Below are 22,123 nucleotides of genomic sequence, written 5' to 3'. Positions count from 1 at the left end.
TAATCAGGTAATGTGATTCCTCCAGTTTTGTTCTTTTTGCTCCGGATAGCTTTGGCTATTCTGGGGTTTTTGCGGTTTCGTATAAATTTTAAGTTTTTTTTTTCTATTTCTGAGGAATGTCATTGACATTGACATTGCTTTTTGGGGTAGTATGGACATTTTAACAATATTGGATTCTTCTAATTTATGAACATGGAATATCTTTCCTTTTTTTGGTGTCTTCAATTTCTTTCATCATTGTGTTATAATTTTCACTATAGAGATCTTTCACTTCTTTGGTTAATCCTAGGTATTTAATTTTATTTATGGCTATTGTAAATGAGATTACTTTCTTGATTTCTTTTTCAGATTGTCCCACCTTTGGCATACGTAAATGTAAATGCTACTGGTTTCTGTATGTAACTTTGTATCCTGCAACTTTACCGAATTTATCAGTTCTAATAGTTTTTTGGTGGAGTCTCTAGGATTTTTCAAATATAATATATTATCTGCAAACGAGGATAATTTAACTTTTCTTTCTGATTTGGATGACTTTTATTTCTTTGTCTTATCTGATTGCTCTAGCTAGGACTTCTAGTACTATGTTGAATCACAGTGGTGAAAATTGGCATCCTTGTTGTGTTCCAGATTTTAGAGGAAAGGCTTTCAGTTTTTCCCCATTCAGTATGATACTAGCTGTGAGTCTGTCCTGTGGTTTTTATTGTGTCCTCCTGTGCACAATTTTTGAGGGTTTTTTTTTTTATCATGAAGCAATGTTGAATTTTATAAAATGCTTTTTTAGCATCAATCAAAATGGTCATATGAATTTTGTCCTTCATTCTGTTGATACAGTGTATCACATTAATTTGCATATGTTGGATCATCCTTGCATCCCTGGGATAAATCCCACCTAGTCATGGTGAATGACCTTTTTAATGTGTGGTTGAATTCAGTTTGCTAGTATTTTATTGAGGACTTTTGCATCAATATTCATCAGAGATATTATCTTAAAGTTTTCTATTTTTTGATGCATCTTTGTCTAGTTTTGGTGACAGAGTAATACTGGCCTCATAGAATGAGCTTGATGAAAGTATTTCCTCCTTGCATTAGTTTGTTCTCATGCTGATATGAAGAAATACCTGAGACTGGATGACTTATAAAGGAAAGAGGTTTAATTGACTCACAGTTCTGCAAGGCTGGGGAAGCCTCAGAAAACTTACAGTCATGGCAGAAGGGAAAGCAAACATGTCCTTCTTCACATGGCAGCAGGAAGGCAAAGAATGAATGAAGCCCGGTGGAAAAGCACCTTATAAAACCATCAGATCTCCTGAGAACTGACTCAGTATCACCAGAACAGCCTGAGGATAACTGCCTCTGTAATTCAATTACCTCCCACCGGGTCCCTCCCATGACACATGGCGATTATGGGAGCTACAATTCAAGATGAGATTTGGGTGGGGACACAGCCAAACCATATCGCCCCTCCTCTAGTTTTTTTTTTTTTTTTTTTTTTTTTGTATTAGTTTGAGTAGGAAGGTTTGGTAGAATTCAGCAGTGAAGCCATCAGGTCGTGGGCTTTTCCTTGTTGGGACACTTTTTATTATGGATTTGATCTTGTTACTTGATCTTGTTACCCGTTGGTCTGTTAAGGTTTTGTATTTCTTTGTGGTTCAGTCTTGATAGTTTGTATGTGTCTAGGAATTTGTCCATTTCTTCTAGGTTTTCCAATTTATTGGGATATAGTTGTCTTTAGTAGCCTCTAATGATCCTCTGAATTTCTGTGGTTTTGATTGTCATGTCTTCTTTTTCATCTCTGATTTTATTTATTTGAGTCTTCTCTCTTTTTTTCTTAGTCTGGCTAAAGGTATGTCAATGTTGTTTAGCTTTTCATAAAACCAACTTTTCAGTTCATCTTTTGGTATTCTTTCCTTTATTTCAATTTCATTTATTTCTGCTCTGATGTTTATTATTTATTTTCTTAGACTAATTTTGGGTTTGATTTGCACTTGCTTTTAGAATTATTTAAATCAGAGCATTGCTTATTTGAAGTTTTTGTACTTTTTAATTTAGCCACTTGTAGCTATAAAATTCCCTCTTTGTGCTGCTTTTGCTGTGTCCCATAGGTTTTGGTATGTTATGTTTCCATTATCACTTCCTCCAAGAAATTTTTTCAATTTCCTTCTTAATTTCTTCATTGACTCACTGATCATTCAGGAGCATATTGTTTAATTTCCATGTGTTTGTGTAGTTTCCAAAATTCCTCTTGTTACTGATTTCTTGTTTTATTCCATTGTGGTCAGAGACTATACTTGATATTATTTCAATTTTTTGAAAGTTTTAAGATTTGTTTTGGCATCTAATATATGGTCTATTCTTGAGAATGATCCATGTGCTGCAGAGAAGGATGTGTATTTTGCAGCCATTGGATGAAATGTTCTGTAAATATCTATTAGGTCTATTTGGTCTATAGTGCAGATTAAATCTGATGATTCTTTGTTTATTTTTTTGTATGAATGATCTTTTTTTGTATGACATATGACATACAATCCTTTTTTGTATGACATGTTTTGTATGAATGTTGAAATGGGATATTTAAGTCTCCAGTTATTATTGTATTGAGGTCTATCTCTCTCTTTAGCTCTAATAATATTTGCTTAATATACCTGGTGCTCCAGTGTTGGGTGCCTATATATCTTCAATTATTATATCCTCTGGCTGAATCAGCCCCTATATCATTACACAATGACCTTCTTTGTCTCTTAATAGCTTTTATCTTGAAATCTACTTTTTCTGATATACGTGTAGCTACTCCGGGTCTCTTTTGGTTTTCATTGGCATGGAATATCTTTTTCCATCTCTTTATTGTCAGGCTATGTGTGTCTTTGTAGGTGAAGTGTGTTTCTTGTAGGTGAAAGATCACTGGGTCTTGTTTTGTTATCCATTCAGCAAGGCTATGTTTTTTGATTGGAGAGTTTAGTCCATTTACTTTTGATGTTATTGTTGTTATTGATAATTTTGATTGATAAGTAAGGCTATACTCCTGCCATTTTGTCATTTGTTTTCTGGTTGTTTTGCAGTCTTCTCTTCCTTCTTTTTCTCCTTTCTGTCTTCCTTTTAGTGAAGGTGATTTTCTCTGGTGGTATGTTTTAGCTTCCTGCTTTTCGTTTTCTGTATGTCTGTTGTATGTTTATTGATTTGAGGTTACCATAAATTTTGCAAATAATATCTTATAATTTATTATTTTAAATTGTTGACAACACTGATTGCATAAACAAATAAGCAAGAAAAAAGAAAATTAATTTAAAAATCTTATGTTTTGACTGTATCCCCCTGCTTTTTAACATTTTGTTGTTTCTGCTTATATCTTACTGTACTATCTGTCTGGAAAAGTTGTAGTTATTTTTTACCAGTTCATCTTTCTGCCTTTCTACTTAACATATATATATAGTTTACACACCACAATTACAGTGTTATAATAGTCTGTGTTTTTCTGTTTATTTACCATAATTGATGAGTTTTGTACCTTCAGATTATTTATTATTGTTCATTATTGTCCTTTGCTTTCAGATTGAAGAACTCCCTTTAATATTCCCTGTAGGACAGGTCTGGTGTTGATGAAATCCCTCAGCTTTTGTTTGTCTGGGAAAGTTCTTCTTTCCCCTTTATGTTTGAAGGATATTTTCACCAGATTTGCTATTCTAGGATACAAGTTCTTTTTCCTTCAGCACTTTAAATATGTCATGCCACTCTTTGCTGGGTGGTAAGGTTCTCACTGAAAAGTCTGCAGTCAGACATGTTGGAGCTCCATTGGGGGTTGTTTATTTTCTCTTGCTGTTTTTAGGATCCTTTCTTTATTTTTGACCTTTGGGAGTTTGATTATTAAATATGTTGAGGTAGTCTTTGTTGGGTTAAATCTGCTTGGTGTTCTAAAACCTTCTTGTACCGAAATATTGATATTTTTCTCTAGGTTTGGAAAATTTTCTGTTATTATCCTTTTGAATAAGGTTCTACCTATCTCTCTCTACCTCTTCTTTAAGGCCAATAACTCTTAGATTTGCCCTTTTGAGGCTATTTTCCAGATCCTATAGGTGTACTTCATTCTTTTTTATCCCTTTTTCTTTTGTCTCCTCTGTGTATTTTTAGGTAGCCTATCTTCAAGCTCACTAATTCTTTCTTCTTTTTGATAAACTCTGCTATTAAGAGTCTGATGCATTCTTCAGTATGTCAATTACATTTTCAACCCCAGAATTTCTTCTTGATTCTTTTTTCATTATTTCAAATTCTTTGTTAAATTTATATGATGAGATTCTGAATTCCTTCATGGTGTTATCTTGAATTTCAAAGAGTTTCCTGAAAACAGCTATTTTGAATTGTCTGTCTGAAATCTCACATATCTCTATCTCTTTGGGTTTATCTCTTTGGTGCCTTATTTAGGTTGTTTGATGAGGTTATGTTTTCTTGGACAGTCTTGATGCTTGTGGATGTTCATTGGTATCTGGGCCTTGAAGAGTTAGGTATTATACCTTTAGCATTCTGGGCTTGTTTGTACCCTTCCTTCTTGAGAAGACTTTCCAGGTATTTGAAGGGACTTAAATGTTGTGATCTAAGTTTTTGGTCACTTCTTCTGTGTCTGCATTAAGGGATACCCCAAGCCCAGTAACACTGTGGATCTCATAGCCTTGTAGAGGTACTGCCTTGGTGGTCTTGGATATAATCTGGAAGACTTGTCTTGATTACCAGGCAGAGACTCTTATTCTCTTCCCTTAATTTCTCCCAAATAATTAGAGAGTCTCTCTCTCTCTCTCTCTCTCTCTCTCTCTCTCTCTCTCTGTCTGCCTCTCTGTCTCTCTCTGTCTGCTAAGCTGCCTGGAACTGGGGGAGGGGTGACACAAACACCCTTGTGACCATCACCACTGGGACTGTGCTTGGTCAGAACTGAAGCCAGTGCAACACTGGTTCTCATTTAAGGCCCATGGTAACCTCTTACTTGCTACTGCCTGTGTTTATTCAAGGCCCTAGGGCTCTACAATTGGCAGATGGTGAAGCCATCCAGGCATGTGTTCCTCCCTTCAGGTCAGTGAGTTCCCCCAGCTCCGAGTGTCCCTGAGATGCTGCCTGGGAGCCAGGGCCTGGAGTAGGAAACCTTAGGAATCTATGTGGTACTCTACTCTATTGCAGCTGAACTGGCATCAGACCACAAGACAAAGTCCTTCCCACTCTTCCCTCCCCTTTTGATAAGCAGAGGAGACTCTTATGTCCACCACCACCACAGGTCCTTGGGGAGTATTGCCAGGCCACAGCCAATGTTCACTTAAGGCCCAAGGGCTCTTCAGTCAGGTTGTGGTGCATGTTGCTAAACCTAGGACCCACTTTCACAAAAGTGGGCTCCCCTCTGGCCCAAGATAGGTCCAGAAATTCCTCCTAACAGCCAAGGCCTGGAATTGGGGATCCCGAGATCCCACTTCATACTCTGCCACACTGTGGCCGAGCTGCAAGGCTGAGGTATCTAAACTGCAAGACAGAGTCCTCTTTACTCTTCCCTCTGCTTTTCTTAAGCAGAAGGAGTCTCTCTTGGTAGCCACTACAGTTGTGAATGTGCCAGATCACACCTGAAGCCAGGACATCTCAGAGTCTCATCCAAGGCCCAGGGTGTTTCCTAACTGGCTACTGCTCCTGATTATTCAGTGCCCAAGGGCTCTTTAGTCAGCAGGTGATGAATTGTGCCAGGACTGCATCCCTCCCTTCAAGCCAGTGGGTTTTCTTCTGGCCCATGTGTGTCTAGAAATGTCTTCCAGGAGCTAGGGCCTAAGATGGGGGCCTCACTACTCTACCCATTGCCCTATCCTGCTGTGGCTGAGCTGGTATCCAAGTTGCAAAGTCCTCTTTACTCTTTTCTCTTCCTCTCCTCAAGTGGAATGAAGGGGTCTTCTTTGGAGCAGTGAGCTGTGCTGCCTGGGGTTGGGGGAGGGATGGCACAACCACTTCTTTAGCTAGGTATATCACTAGGTCATGTGCACCTCAAGCCCACTGGCTCTGACCCCACACGGCACTAAAACTTGCCTAGGAGTTGCAGTTCTTGTGGCCTAGACTGCCTTTCAAGTTGTTTAGAGCCTCAGAACACTTTAGCCCATGGTGGCAAGGTTTGCCAAAACTCAGGTTGTAACATCTGGAATGGGTGATTTCCCTCTGGCTAGGGCTGCTCTAAGTGGTCCCTCCATGGGCATTTGCTGAGGTCTGTGCATGTTGGCAGCACCGAGTTCCAACACAAAGTCCCACTCTCCCTCCCTGAGAACAGAGATTCTCAGTGCCTAGCAGCTGATGCGGGGGGCCAGGGGAGGGATGGCATCCACAATTCAAGACTATCTTTCCTACCCTCTTCGGTGTCTCTTTCAGTAATATGAAGTTAATACCAGGTACTGTGATCATTCACTTGATGTTTGGTTTTCATGAAGGTGCTTTTGGGTTTAGATGGTTGTTAAAGTTGGTATTTCTATGGGGAGAATGATCAGTGGAGGCTTCGATTCAGCCATCTTTCTCTGCCTCGATCCTGATTTTAAAGTATTTAAGTGCGCCCAGCAAATCATAAAAATCATTCAAAACTTTCTATACACAGGAAATTATAAAAAAGAGTTAAAGTGATTACATATGTATTTTTAAAAATCATTCACTTAAATGAAAATTTGTTAAAATCATTAGAACCAATTTTTACGTATCAGTCTTTAAGGAGAGTTCTGTCCTTTGGAAAGTATTTGTACTTGGATTGAGGTCCTTCATATGTGACTGTGTGTGTGTGTGTGTGTGTGTGTGTGTGTGTGTGTGTGTAAAATATACATACATGCCTATATATATTTTTAGAATATTTTTATATTTTATATTATTGTTGGACATCAAGTGATTCTTTGGTTATGAATGATTATAAATGTAGTTGGAGAGTTAAACTGTAAATTCCTGTTCATTAAAGGAAAATTCCTTTGGGAAAATGAATATTGAATATGGAGAGTATCATCATTTATTTATCCTCCTAGCTATTACTGGAAATATTTAGGAATTTGGGGATTATTTATTGTGAATTTCTACTGTACATAATAGCCTTTGACAGAATTAGCAAATAGGATTCATTGCCTGATATTTCAAATATTTCTATATTTTAAAAAAGATTATTACCACAAGGGCAAAACAGTTGGTGAATTTATTCAGTATAGAAATCAGTCCTTTATTATCAGTAAGGGGAAATAAAAATCCCAGTCATTTGACTACATAGATAGCTGATTAACTAAATTATCAAAAATATATTTTCAGTTAGACATTTTGTTACTTGTGGAAACCACCATGGTTTGTATCCTGTTGGTTTGGATTTACAACATAAAAGCATTTAGTCTAATTAGAATAATATATCAATGAACAATTTCTAAGCAACTTTCTCCTTCAAAAACATTGTTAGGTCTTCATTATTTCCTTCCTTCTCCCTTTCTTTCTTCCCTTCCCCTTCCCCTTCTTTCTTGAAATGGAGTCTCATTCTGTCACCCAGGCTGGAGTGCAGTGATGTGATCTCAGCTCAGTGCAACCACTGCCTCCTGGGTTCAAGCAATTCGCCTGCCTCAGCCTCCTAAGTAGCTGGATTACTGGCGCCTGCCACCACACCCGTCCAATTATTTATATATTTTTAGTAGAGACGGGGTTTCACCATGTTTTGAACTCTTGACCTCAGGTGATCCGCCTGCCTAGACCTCACAAAAGCCTAGGGTTACAGGCATGAGCCACCACACCCGGCCGATTTTTAATATTTTCTTAAAAATACAAAGGAAGGGTCAGCCGCGGTGGCTGACGCCTGTAATTCCAGCATTTGGGGAGGCTGAGGTGGGCGGATCACCTGAGATTAGGAGTTCGAGATCAGCCTGTCCAACGTGGTGAAACCCCATCTCTACTCAAATTACAAAACAAACAAAAAACAACCTAGCACATGCCTGAATCCCAGCTACCTGGGAGGCTGAGGCAGGAGAATCGCTTGAACATGGGAGGCTGAGGTTGCAGTCAGCCGAGATTGTGCCACTGTACTCCAGTCTGGGTGACAGAGTGAGACTCCATCTCAAAAAAAACAAAAACAAAAACAAAACAACAAACAAAAAAAACTGTATAGGTCCAAACAGTTCAGGGAAAGAGGAAAAAGTGGAATTTACAGTAAAGTGCATCCATGTTTAGGTTATCACATTCCCACGCGCCCAATACCCACCCATAAAACAAGAATTTCATTCCATGACACAAAGGAGCTCCTATTACCTTGAATGGTAGTCCAGAAGTATTGGTACCAGGGGGACTGGAACTAACGAAGAAATGTTGGTTGTCCTTGAGTATTCAGTACTGGGATAAATGAAACAAAGCCATCTGCTGCCCTACCACTCTGGTCTGCTGCCCTACCACTCTGCTGCAGTGCTGCTGGCCCCTCAGCCCCTTACCCTTGCTCCTTCTTGCCACTGGGCCCATGTTCTCTCCACATGCAGCCCTCTCCACTTGTTTCATTCCCTCGTTTCCTTCTATTTGTGCTTCTCCAAGATACGGGAACTACCCTCCACCTCTCACTACTTCACATCCTTATGATATGCTCCGAGCAGTGTGCCTGTGTAGCAGTTGTCTCTGTTGCAAGCTCGAAGTTTTACATTTGTTCTGGTGGTTATTTGGGTAAAAGAGACTCCCCAACTGGACTGCAAACTCAGGGAGGGCAGAGCCCATGTCTGTCTTTCATCACAGTGTATTGCCAGCACCTGGCACAGTGTCAGGCCCATAGCAGGTGCCCATAAAATGTTACTCTGAAAGAGTAACTCTTCACTCAGATAGTATCTGCTTCATATCTATCTTCTGTGAACCCACAGCACTCCTCCCTGGTTTTCCATGTGTTGTTGAGCATTTTCTTTCTTTTTCTTTTTTTTTGTTGTTGTCATTTTAGTGAGATGTTTGGGAGGGATGAGAAGGAAACTATGCTGTAGTCCCTGATTTTGAACCAAAAGTGTTGACTTCTAATAAGTCTGTGCATAGTTATACAGTGTATTTCCGCAGGCTGTTTCGTGACATGAGCTGTTCGTTAAAATGTCACCTGTAATTTTTGTTTTCCCTCAGGCTTACATTCAGAAAGTGGAGGTAACTGATATGATTGAACTAGAACAGAGATTAGTGGATTCCAAAAACTGCCTCGCCTTCCTCATCGAGTATGTCAACTTTTCTCCAGCAGACATGAGGCTAAATAATAGTGTTTTCCAGTGGTATGGAAGGATGGGAGAAATTTTTGAAGAACACAGGAAAATCATTAAAGAGAAAATAGAACAATATCAAGAAGGTCTGAAGGTTGGCATCTTAGATATTTTATTTTCATTTTCTGGAAATGTTTTGTTTTTATCTTTTTATGTAGCATTGTCAATTATTTTATTTGAGTGCATACTTTTTTAGCTTTCTCATACTATAATGCTATAATCTCACTATAAATATTAGTGGGAGACAGTAATATATTGGATCTTTTATAATGCTTATTGGATGATTAAGGAGTCAGTAGTATATTGATCAATATGCAGTCATTTCTTGATTTTTCAAGATAATGTGAAAAAAATGGAATATATCATGCATAGGTGATAGTTAATAAAAATAGTATTTATCTTACATAATTTATAGTACTATTTTCGGTTTTTAAAACTTGTTTGAATATCAAAGCTCCCTTGATGAAATGTGCTTTCATACCTCATAATTGCTCACTCTCATGAGCATTGTGCCCAGAATCGTCACTCTAACATTCAGTAACTCCAGCTTTTTTCTTGGGGGGGAGGGGGCAGTCTTCCATATAAGATGATTTATGATTTGCCCATTTCACTGTCCAGCCTCATTGCCTACTTCTCCCCACTCCTCACTCATGACTTTTCAGTAACCCTGTCAACTTCTAGATGTCTGCTCTCCTATGCTTCTTGTCTCCTGCACATTCTCCCCATCACTCTGAGCACACCCCCGCCCCACATGTGCTTGTTCATCTAGCACACTCTATTCATTTTTCTGAGAAGCCCTCTCAGCAGACCTCAGTGCTACTTGTTCTCTCCTGTGCTCTCACTTTGACCACATCTCTATCGGACAATTATCTGATCATTATGTTAGTGTTTGTAAGTCTGCCTCCTGATGGGATCATCAGCTCCTTGAGAGCAGGGCTGTTTCATTATTACATTTCTCCATTTATATCCACTTCCCAGCACAGTGACTGACACACAGAAATGCTGTGAGCATTCCATAGCTACTGTATTAGTAAATGACTTAATATTTACAGTCTCATTTTACAGGTGGAAGAGTAAGTTTCCCAAAGATTAAGAGACTTGTTCTAGGTCAGCCAGTACAGATGTCCTTTAATAGCAAGCCATGCTTTCTTTCTATTACATTATAGCAAATATAATTGGCAAAATATGTTGTTTGGAGAATAATTCATAGGCTTAAAAAACTCTTCATTTTAAACTGTAGTTTGTATTTTTGTTTTACATTAAGGGTATATCAGATTTTTTTAAAAACTGCAGAAAACATCATGAGTAGTAAATATTAGATGTTTAAGTTTCAGTAAAATAGGCTCTTGGAAAATTGCTAAGTGGCCCAGAATTATTTATGCTATGTTTTAAAGTATACTATTCCACAAACTACACACACTGTTGATGAACTTTTCCTCTCATTTTCCCTCCCCGACTGGGCTAGAGCAATAAGTTTGCCAGGAAACTAGAGAAAAGAGGACATAAATCAGCCTAGATAATCTATAAAATAGAAAATCTATTTTTGAATAACCTAAATTTTTTGAATATTTTATTGAGCTATTTTTTAGAGCCATTTAATTTGGAATGCCTTACCAATACCAATTATGTAATAAGGCTTTTTTACTTAAAACATACATACCTATCTTATATTAGAACACTATAGTTTTTAAGTGTTTAAATCTGGATTTATTTACCTTACGTGTTTCTTGTGAAGAGAGCCCATTGGACAAGAAAAATAACCTTGGAATATCTTGCTTTAGTATTGCTGATTGAAATGATATCAGAGTACAATTAAAGAAATTCCGTTTTTTTCAGTTTATAAAAATAGCATAGGTAAAAATTGAAATTTTCTTTTAGTCCCATTCTTGATTATTAAGAGATTTTTCAAATGCTGATAAATTATTTGTTTGCATAAATTCTTCAGCATATTAAAGATCACCATTGTCTAACATTTTTATTAATTTTATTAGCTAGAACTTCTTACATAGATAATACAGAGTTGACTTTTTCTAATCTGTGAGTTAGAGGAATCTAAATCCATTAATTTAAAGTTTTACAATTCTGCATATTTTAGATCTCGTTCATTTTCCAGATCATCCTTTTATGTTTTACCAGTGACAAAATATAATAATAATTCTGATAACTCCTACAATGTTAAAATTTTTTGACAGCAAGGGGTTTTAACTTTTAAGAATATTAACAACAAATTGTTTTTATTAGTTACGGTGTGAACGGTTTGTGGAGGAATTGGAGAGTTATGCTAAGCAATCAGAAGAATTTTATTCATTTGGAGATCTTCAGGATGTTCAGCGGTACCTAAAAAAGGCTCAAATACTGAATGGAAAGTTGGATTTAGCTGCAGATAAGGTATAATTCAAAAATTCTTAAAAAGATGAATTAGTTCAATTGAAAAAGCATTGAATTCGTTTTAGTTATTCACCTTTAAGAAGTAGATTCAAATAAAACAGTAACCACATTTAATTAGAGGATAATAGAATGACACAAATAGATTTTATAGACATGCTTCAAGGAATAGCAGTATTGCTGTTTTCTATTGGTAGTGATACATTTTTTTCCTATGTTAAAGATAGAGTTATATCTCAGTCTTCTTTTTAAACTTTGCTTTGCATCATTTAATTATTTGCATCATAGTTCTACTATGATAGTTGGGAGTCCATAGTTTTGAGCAGAAGCAGGCAAATGATAGTACCTGGTTACGGTTTAGTTCTTCCATCTTCATAGAGGACAGCTTAGATTTAGTGGTCTTGTTTTAAAATAAGGTCCATTATTTTCTCTCACCAAGCAATTTTGTTCCCAATACTACCGTTTCAGAAATCAGCTTTTTCATTAGAGGAAGCTGGAGGAAAAAGAGCCATACCCTTTGCCATATAAGATATTTACAGAGTTTAATTGTATTTTATATGAAAAGGAGAATGAAAACATATGATTAACTATGATGCTCTATCATTTTTCTTACATTGAAAGATCTTAATATCTTATTAGTTCAGGTAATTGTTTTATAATAATCACAAATATGTCAACATACGTGGAGAAAATAAAAACTCTGTAGTTATTTTAAACCAAGGCCACTGAGGTGGAACAAAATGGCTGAATAGAAGCCTCCACTGATTGCTCCCCCCACCACCCACAGGAAACCAAGTTTTAACAATTATCTGCACACAGAAAATCACCTTCATAAGAACCAAAAATCAGGTGAGCAATCACGTTACCTGGTTTTAACTTCATATCACTGAAAGAAGCATTGAAAACAGGAAAAACAGTCTTGAAACGCTGATGCTGCCCCTCCGCATTCCCCAATAACACCCATGTGGTGCAGAGAGAGAATCTGTACACGTCGGGGAGGGACAGCGTAGTGACTGGGGGACTTTGCATTGAACTCAGTGCTGCCCTGTTGCAGCAGAAAGCAAAACTGTTCTGACCTCAGCTGGCACCTACCCACACAGAGAGCATTTGGACCAGACATAGCCAGCAGGGAAGCACCCATCCCAGTGGTCAGAACTTGAATTTCTCAGCAGGCCGTGCCACTGTGGGCTAAAGTGCTCTGGAGTCCTAAGTGAATTTAAAAGACAGTCTAGGTTACAAGGACTGGAATTCTTAGGCAAGCCCTGATGCTGTCCTGGGCTTAGAGCTGGTGAACTGGGTTAACATGTGACCTAAGGAGACACCATGCAGGGTGGCTGAGGAAGTGCTTATGCCATGCTTCTCCCAACCCTAAGCAGTGTAGCTCACACCCATGAAGGTGACTCCTTCCTTCTGCTTGAGGAGAGTAGGGAGGAGAGAAAAGACGGCTTTGTCTTGCATCTTGGATACTAGCTCAGCCACAGTAGGGCAGGGCAACGTGCAGGGTTGTGAGGCCCCCATTTCGGGCCTTATCTCCCAGATGACATATGTAGACATACCCTGGGCTGGAAGAGAACCCACTGCCTTGAAGGCCTTGAAGGGAAGGACACAATCCTGGCAGGATTCATCACCTGCTGACTAAAGAGCCCTTAGGCCCTGAATAACCAATAGTGATATCCAGGTGGTATGCTATGGGCCTTAGGTGAGACTCTGATACATGCTGGCTTTGGGTACCAACTCAGCCACACTGGGATAGAGAACCAGGTGGGACCTTGGGGCCCCCAAGTCCAGGCCTAGGCTCTTAGACAGTATTTCTGGACCTGCCATGGGCCAGAGGGGAGCCCACTGCCCTGAAGGCTGAGTCCCAGGCCTGACAGTATTCACCACAAGCTGACTGAAGAGTGCTTGGGCCTTAAATGAACATTGGCAGTGGCCTGGCAGAACTGCCCATGGGCCAGTGGTGGCAGCAGCAGGAGAGGCTCTTCCACTTGTGGAAAGAGGAGGGAAGGGTGGGAAGGATTTTGTCTTGTGGTTTGGGTTCAAGCTTAGTAGAATAGAACACCAAACCTGGAGAAAGATGCCAATATTCAAGTACAAGGTTATAGAACACCAAGCAAATTTAACCCAAAGAAGACTACCTCAAGGCATTTAATAATCAAACTTCCAAAGGTCAAAAATAAAGGAACCTAAAAGCAGCAAGAGAAAAGAAACAAATAGCACACAATGGAGCTCCAACACATCTGACTGCAGGCTTTTCAGTGGGAACCTTACAGGCCAGGACAATGGCATGACATATTTAAAGTGCTGAAAGAAAAAACTTGTACCCTAGAATAGTATATCATGAAAATACCCTTCAAACATGAAATAGCAAGACAGACTTTCCCAGACAAACAAAAGCTGAGAGATTTCATCAACACCAGACCTATCTTACAGGAAATGCCATAGTTTGCGAATCTGAAAGAACAGGATGAGCAATAATAAATCATCTGAAGGCACAAAACTCACTGGTAATAATAAGCACACATAAAAATAGACTATTATAATACTGTTTAATTGTGGTATGTAAACTACTCATGTCTTAAGTAGAAAGACTAAACGATGAGCCCATCAAAAATAATAAATGCAACTACTTTTCAAGATATAAACAGTACAAAAAGATATAAAGAGAAACAAAAAAAGTTAAAAAGCAGGAGGATGAAGTCAAAGTGTAGATTTTTAAATTAGTCTCCTTTTTGCTTATTTATGCAATCAGTATTGTCTTCAGTTTAAAATCATGGGTTATAAGATATTATTTTCAAGCTTCATGGTAATCTAACATAAAAAACTATATACAACAGATAAACAAAAAATGAAAAGTAAGAAATTAAAACATACTACCAGAGAAAATCACCTTCACTAAAAGGAAGATAGGAAGGAAGGAAAGCAAGAGAAGCCCACAAAACAACCAGAAAACATAAAACAAAATGGCAGAAGTAACTCCTTACTTATCAATAATAATATTGAATGTAAATGGACTAACTTCTCTAATCAAAAGATATAGCATGGATAAATGGTTTTTTTAAAAAAAACAGCAAGACCCAGTGGTCTGTTGCCTTCAAGAAACACACTTTACCTATAAAGTCACACATAGACTGAAAATAAAAGGTTGAAAAAATATATTCCATGCCAATGGGAACAAAAAATTACCAGGAGTAACAATGCTTGTATCAGGCAAAATAGACTTCAAGACAAAAACTGTGAGAAGACACAAAGTATTATATAACGATACAAGGATCAATTCAGCAAGAGGGTATGACAATTATAATTTATATGCAACAAACACTGGAGTGCCCAGATATATAGAGCAAATAATATTAGAGCTAAAGAGAGAAATAGACCTCAATACAATAATAGCTGGAGAGTTAAACACCTCACTTTTGGCACTGGACAGATGTCCCTGACAGAAAACCAACAAAGAAACATCAGATTTAATCTATGCTGTAGACCAAATGAACATAATAAATATTTACAGAACATTTCATCCAACAGCTGCAGAACGCGAATTCTTCTCCTCAGCATATGGGTAATCCTCAAGGATAGACCATATGTTAGGTCACAAAACATGGTTTAAAACATTTTAAAAAAGGAAATGATATCAAGCATCTTCTCTGACCACGGTGGAATAAAACTAGAAATTAATAACAAGAATTTTGGAAACTATACAAACACATAGGAATTAAGCAATGTGCTCCTGAATGAGCGGTGGGGTCAATGAAAAAATTAAGAGGAAATGGAAAAATTTCTTGAAACAAATGATAATGGAAACACAACATAACAAAACATATGGTATCTAGTGAAAGCAGTGCTAAGGGGGAAATTTATAGCTATAGGTACCTACACCAAAACAAACACACAAACAAACAAAAAAATCTAATTATGCACCTTAAGGAACTAGAAAAGCAAGAGTAAACCAAACCCAAAATCAGTAGAGAAAAGAAATAATAAACACCAGAGCAGAAATTTAAAAATTGCAATGAAGAAAACAATAAAAATTAATGATATGAAAAGTTTTTGAAAAAATAAAATTGATAAACCTTTAACTAGACTACCCAAGAAAAAAAGAGAGAAGACCCAAATGAGTAAAATCGAAATGAAAAAGGAGACATTACAACTAATTCTGTAGAAACTCTAAGGCTCAATAGTGGCTACTGTGAGCAACTGTATGCCAATAAATAGGAAAATCTCGAGGAAATGCTTAAATTCCTAGATACACACAAAGTACCAAGATTGAACCATGCAGCAATCCAAAACCTGAACAGACCAACAACAAGTAAGAAGATTGAATGCATAATAAAAAAATCTCCCAGTAAAGAAAAACCCAGGACCCAATGGCTTCACTGCTAAATTCTAGCCAACATTTACAAAAGAACTAATGTCAATCCTACTCAAACTATTCTGAAAAATATAGGAGAGAATACTTCCAGATTTATTCTAGGAGGTTAGTATTACCTTGATACCAAAACTAGACAAAGACACATCAAAAAAAGAAAACTTTAGGCCAATATCCCTAATGAACATTGAGGCAAAAATCCTCAACAAAATACTGGCAAACTGAATTCAACAATGCATTAAAAACATCATTCATCATGATCAAGTGTAATTTATCCTGGGATGTAAGGATGGTTCTACATAAACATATCAATCAATTTGATGCATCATATAAAGAGAATGAACGACAAAAATAATATGATCATTTCAATTGGTGCTGAAAAAGCATATAACAAAATTCAACATCACTTCATGATGAAAACCCTCATAAAACTGGCTATTGAAGGAACATACCTCAACATAATAAAAGCCATAAAAGACAGACCCACAGGTAGTATCATACTGAATGGGGAAAAACTGAAAGAAAGCCTTTTATCTAAAATCTGGAACACATCAAGGATGCCCACTTTCACCACTGTGAGTCAACATAGTGCTGGAAGTACTAGCTACAGCAGTCCAATGAGAGAAGGAAATAAAGGGCATCCAAACTGGAAAGGAAGAAGTCATATTTTCCTTGTTTGTAGATGATATGAACTTTTTTTTTTTTTTTGAGACGGAGTCTCACTCTGTCACCCAGGCTGGAGTGCAAGTGGCGTGACCTCGGCTCACTGCAACCTCTGCCTCCTGGGTTCAAGCGATTCTTCTGCCTCAGTCTCTCTAGTAGCTAGGACTACAAGCGCGTGCCACCATGCCTGGCTAATTTTTTTTTTTTTTTTGTATTTTTAGTAGAGATGGGGTGTTACCATGTTGGCCAGGCTGGTCTCGAACTCCTGACCTCGTGATCCGCCTGCCTCGGCCTCCCAAAGTGCTGGGATTACAGGCGTGAGCCACCGTGCCCGGCCAATATGATCTTGTAGTTGGAAAAATGTAAAGACTCCTCCAAAAAAAAAAAAAAAAAAACTATTAGAACTGATAAATTCAGTAAAGTTACAGGATACAAAATTGACATACAAAAATCAGTGGCATTTATATATACCAAAGGTGGACAATCTGAAAAAGAAATAAAAGTAATCCCATTTACAATAGTCTCAAATAAAATTAAATACCTAAGAATTAATTTAGCCAAAGAAGCCACAGATCTCTACAATGAAAAGTATAAAATATTGATGAAAGAAATTGAAGGTGACACATAAAAAGGTATATTCCATGTTCATGGATTTGAAGAATCAATATTGTTAAAATGTTCATACTACCCAAAGCAATCTTCATATTCAGTGTAATCCCTATCAAAATGCCAATGAGATTCCTCACAGAAATAGAAAAAACACTCCTAAATTTTTTTTGTCTCCTGCCCATCCCCACAGTTCTACAATTTTTATGGAACTACAAAAACCTTAGAATAGCCAAAGCTATCTTGAACAAAAAGAACAAAACTGGTGGAATCACATTACCTAGTTTCAAATTAGGATTCAGAGCTTTAGTAACCAAAGCAGCATGGTACTGGCAGAAAAACAGACGCATAGACCAATGGAACAGAATGGAGAGCCCAGAAACAAATTCATAAATCTACAGTAAATTCATTTTAGAGAAAAGTGCCAAGGACATACTTTGGGAAAAAGACAATCTCTTCAACAAATAGTACTGGGAAAACTGGATATTCATATACAGAAGAATGAAGCTAGACCCCTATCTCTCACCATATAAAAAATCAAATCAAAATGGATTAAAGACTTAAATCTAAGACCTCAAACTATGAAACTACTACAAGAAACATTGGAGAAACTCTCCAGGAATTTGGACTGGGCAAAAATTTCTTGAGTAATACCCCACAAGCACAGGCAAACAAAGCAAAAGTGGACAAATGGGATCACATCCAGTTAAAAACTTCTGCACAACAAAGGAAACAATAAACAACATGAAGAGACAACCCAGAGCATGGGAGAAAATATTTGCGAACTACCCATCTGATGAGGGATTAATAACTGGAATACATAAGGAGATCATACAACTCTGTTGGAAAATCTCTAATAACCTGAATTTAAAATGGGCAAAAGATGTGAAGAGACATGTCACAAAAGAAGACATACAAATGGCAAATAGACATTTGGAAAGGTGTTCAACATCATTGATTATCAGAGACATGCAAATCAAAACTACAATGAGATACCATGTCACTTCAGTTAAAATGGCTTTTATTCAAAAAACAGTCAATAACTGCTGTCAAAGATGTAGAGAAAAGGAAACTTTCTTACACTGTTGATTGGAAGGTAAGTTAGTACAACTACTATGGAGAACAGTTTGCAGCTTCCTTAAAAAACTAAAACTAGAGCTACCATATCATCCAGCAGTCCCGCTGCTGGTATATACCCGAAAGAAAGGAAGTCAAGATATCAAAGAGATATCTGCATTCCCATGATTGTTGCAGAACTGTTCACAATAGCCAAGATTTGGAAGCCTAAGTGTCCAGCAAGAGATGAATAGATAAAGAAAATGTGGTATCTGTATACGATGGTGTACTATTCAGCCATAACAAACAAGACGATTCTGTCATTTGCAACAACACTGATGGAACTGGAAGTCATTATATTAAATGAATAAGCCAGGCACAGAAAGACAAACTTTGCATGTTCCCACTTAACTTGTGTGAGCTAAAAAGTAAAACAATTGAACTCATGGAGATACAGAGTAGAAGAATGGTTACCAAAAGCTGGGAAGGGTAGTGATGGAGTAGGGGATAAGTAGGAACGTTGAGTGGGTACAAAAAATAGTAAGAATAAATAAGGTCTAGTATTTGTCAACAATAATTTAATTGCACATTTAAAAATAACCTAAAACAGGGCCAGGCACAGTGGCTCACACCTCTAATCCCAGCACTTTGGGAGGCCAAGGCAGGCAGATCACTTGAGCCAAGGAATTTGAGACCAGCCTGAGCAACATGGTGAAACCCTATCTCCACTAAAATTACAAAAATTAGCCAGGCATGGTGGCATGTGCCTGTAGTCCCAGCTACTTGGGAGGCTAAAGTGGGAGGATCATTTGAGCCCAGGAAGTCGAGGCTGCGTGAGCCGAGATCTTGCCACTGCATTCCAGTCTGGGTGACAGAGCAAGACTGTCTCAACAACAACCAACCAACCAAAAGTGTATAATTGGATTGTTTATAACACGAAGGATAAATATTTGAGGGAATGGATACCCCATTTAACATATGATAGGCATTGTATACCGCTATCAAAGTATCTCATGTACACCATAAGTATATACACCTACTTCTGTGTACCCACAAATATTTTTTTAAAAACTGAGGCCACTGAAATTTTAAGTAACCTCGTAACCCATGTATTTAGCTAACGAACACTTTTCAGTTCTCTTCTCAACTGTCCATATCCTCACATATTTCACAACTAAAGTAAGAGGAAGTGTTCAAGACTGAACTCGAGTTTCATTTTCTTTACAGAAGCATCTGTGACTGCAGTATTTCAGCACTCTCTCTCAACTCTGGGTGTTAGCATTTTATAGTATATTTTATTCATTTTAAATTTATTTCGCTGAGATGTCTTTTCTATTGCTTTATATTATTATTATTGAAAAATTAGTTAAATTTTCACCTATGTATATATTTTCTCCTGAGCTGGATTACTAACTCCTTGGAGTTAGTATTTTGCAATATAATACTTTTTTTCTATTTTCCACAGTACCTAACACAATGCTGTGTGTATTAAAAAATATTTAAGTTCTTGTTAACTAAAGAATGATGCTGTGTCCTCAATGTGTCTAGACAGACAAAAACTCTTTCTTTATATATGTAAATGTGCATTAACTATTTTAACTAATGTAACCAGACATTGTTCTCTGAAAACTGTAATAAAAAAGAAATAGGGGAATGCTATTCAGCCTTAGAGGGGGAATAAAAATGGGAAATCCTGTCATTTGTGACAACATGGATAAACCTGGAGGACTTATGTTAAGTCAAATATTCCAGGCACAGAAAGACAAATACCACATGATCTCAGTTATAGTGGAATCTAATAAAAAATCAAATTCATAGAAGCAGAGAGTAGAATGATGCCTACAAGGGTGGGGCTGGTGGGTAGTGGGGATTGGGGAAGATGTTGGTCAAAGGATAAAAAATTTCAGTTAGGAGGAATACGTTTAGGTATCTATTGTACAAATTGGTAACTACAGCTAATAGCAATGTATTGTATACGTGAACATTGCTAAGAGAGTAGGTTGTGTAGTGTTCTTATTACAAAAAAATCAGTGTGTGAGGTAATGTATGTTAATTAGTTTTATTTACCCATTCCATAATTATACATTTTCTCAAAACATGTTATGTACCATAAATATGTACATTTTTGTCAATTAAAAAAAGAAGTAAATAGGAAAATGAGATTACTGCTCTGTTTTTCTAGATTATTGAAGTTTAACTTCAGGGCTTAGTAAGGTTTTTTTGGCTCACATTTGAAATAGATATTTAAAAAAACTTAATTTGCAGTATCATTCACTTTCAAAATAACTAATATATTCAATACTTATCCTTTCAGATTGAGCAGTTTAATGCTGAAGAGGAAGCATTTGGTTGGCTACCATCTGTATATCCTCAACGTAAAAAAATCCAAGATGGCTTGAACCCTTATCTTCGTCTTTATGAAACTGCTGTCGAATTTAGCAGCAACTATAGAGCATGGACAGAAGGGCCATATCATAAAGTGAATCCAGACCAAGTAGAAGCAGATATTGGAAATTACTGGAGAGGATTATATAAACTGGAGAAAACCTTTCATGATTCTCCATATGCATTGGCAATGACAAAAAAAGTAAGATCAAAGGTGGAAGATTTCAAGCAGCACATTCCTCTCATTCAAGTGATCTGTAATCCTGGTTTGCGCCCCAGGCACTGGGAGGCCATGTCTGCCATTGTTGGTTACCCTTTGCAGCCATCAGATGACTCCACAGTCTCCTCTTTTTTAGACATGAATCTGGAACCATATATAGACCGATTTGAAGGTATTAGTGAAGCAGCTAGCAAAGAATATTCTCTTGAAAAGGCGATGGAGAAGATGATTACTGAGTGGGATGCAGTGGAATTTGTCATCCATTCTTATAGAGAAACTGGGACATTTATTTTGGCATCAGTTGATGAAATTCAGATGTTGTTGGATGACCATATTATTAAAACACAAACTATGCGAGGATCTCCTTTCATTAAGCCTTATGAAAAACAAATGAGGTAAAGTGATATTTATATGGCAATGTTTATGCTATGTTACCAAAATCACTTGTGTTTAATGTAAAGTTCTTTTGAGAATTATTTCACACATAATATTTCATACTTAATATTTTATTTCTTTTGAGAATTGATTTTGCATTTCATACTTAGCATTTCATACTAAATATTTAAGGTCTTTAAATATTTAAAGATATTATAATCAATGGCTTCATTGCTATTGGACGATTGCTCATCCTTTGCTATCATCTTAATGGTTTGTTAACTTCTGTATTCATAACAAAGACAGTGGACAATCAACATCCAGATATTCGTTTTTATTGCCTACAATATGATCTTATTTTTTAACTCTCAAAAATAATTTTGTATCTGTGAACGGAAGATAATAATTTTGTTTTAAAAATACATTAGCTTGTCATAGAAGATTGCTGAATATCTATTGTAATTTCTACTCATATGCATGCGGGATGGCAAGTAAGTGAAAAAGAATGAAACTATAATTTTAGTTGGGAGTTTTAAGTATCATACACAGCCAATTAAAGTAAGCCTAGCTGTCTGTCAATGTTTCCAGTTTTTGTAATTTACATTAGGCAGGCTATATATTACCTTAAAAAAACAGAGTCCATCAAAATCAGACTACTGTCTTCAGTGGATTTGCATGGCAAGGGAATGCTAACAGCTTGGTAGTATCTGCCTCTGGTGACTTAGGTGTTATCGTACACTTGGGCATGTTCTGATTGGTCTTGGCTCATTCTCTGTGTTTGGTCCTTCTGCCTCCTGCCAGCTTGCTCCAGCATGCACATTAAGAGAAGAATTTTTAAACTACTCT

General features: G+C 37.2%; 1 protein-coding gene across 11 annotated transcripts in view; it reads left to right on the top strand.

Moving 5' to 3' along the window:
• Positions 1 to 22,123, top strand: part of DNAH7 (dynein axonemal heavy chain 7) — a 331,135-nt gene that overhangs the window by 87,281 nt on the left and 221,731 nt on the right. For all 11 annotated transcript variants that reach the window (XR_922968.4, XM_011511488.4, XM_017004504.3 and 8 more), the window contains 3 exons: positions 9,091 to 9,315; positions 11,463 to 11,609; positions 20,612 to 21,297. Coding sequence is in view for 10 of the 11 variants with exons in the window: in XM_011511488.4 (XP_011509790.1) it covers positions 9,091 to 9,315; positions 11,463 to 11,609; positions 20,612 to 21,297 (1,058 nt within the window). In the remaining variant the exon portion in view is untranslated. The remainder of the gene's footprint in view (positions 1 to 9,090; positions 9,316 to 11,462; positions 11,610 to 20,611; positions 21,298 to 22,123) is intronic.

Source organism: Homo sapiens, chromosome 2 (genome assembly GCF_000001405.40).
Source record: "Homo sapiens chromosome 2, GRCh38.p14 Primary Assembly".
NCBI classification, from domain to species: Eukaryota; Metazoa; Chordata; class Mammalia; order Primates; family Hominidae; genus Homo; species Homo sapiens.
The sequence above is the reverse complement of the archived record's forward strand: the minus strand, read 5'-3'. Positions and strand labels throughout refer to the sequence as shown.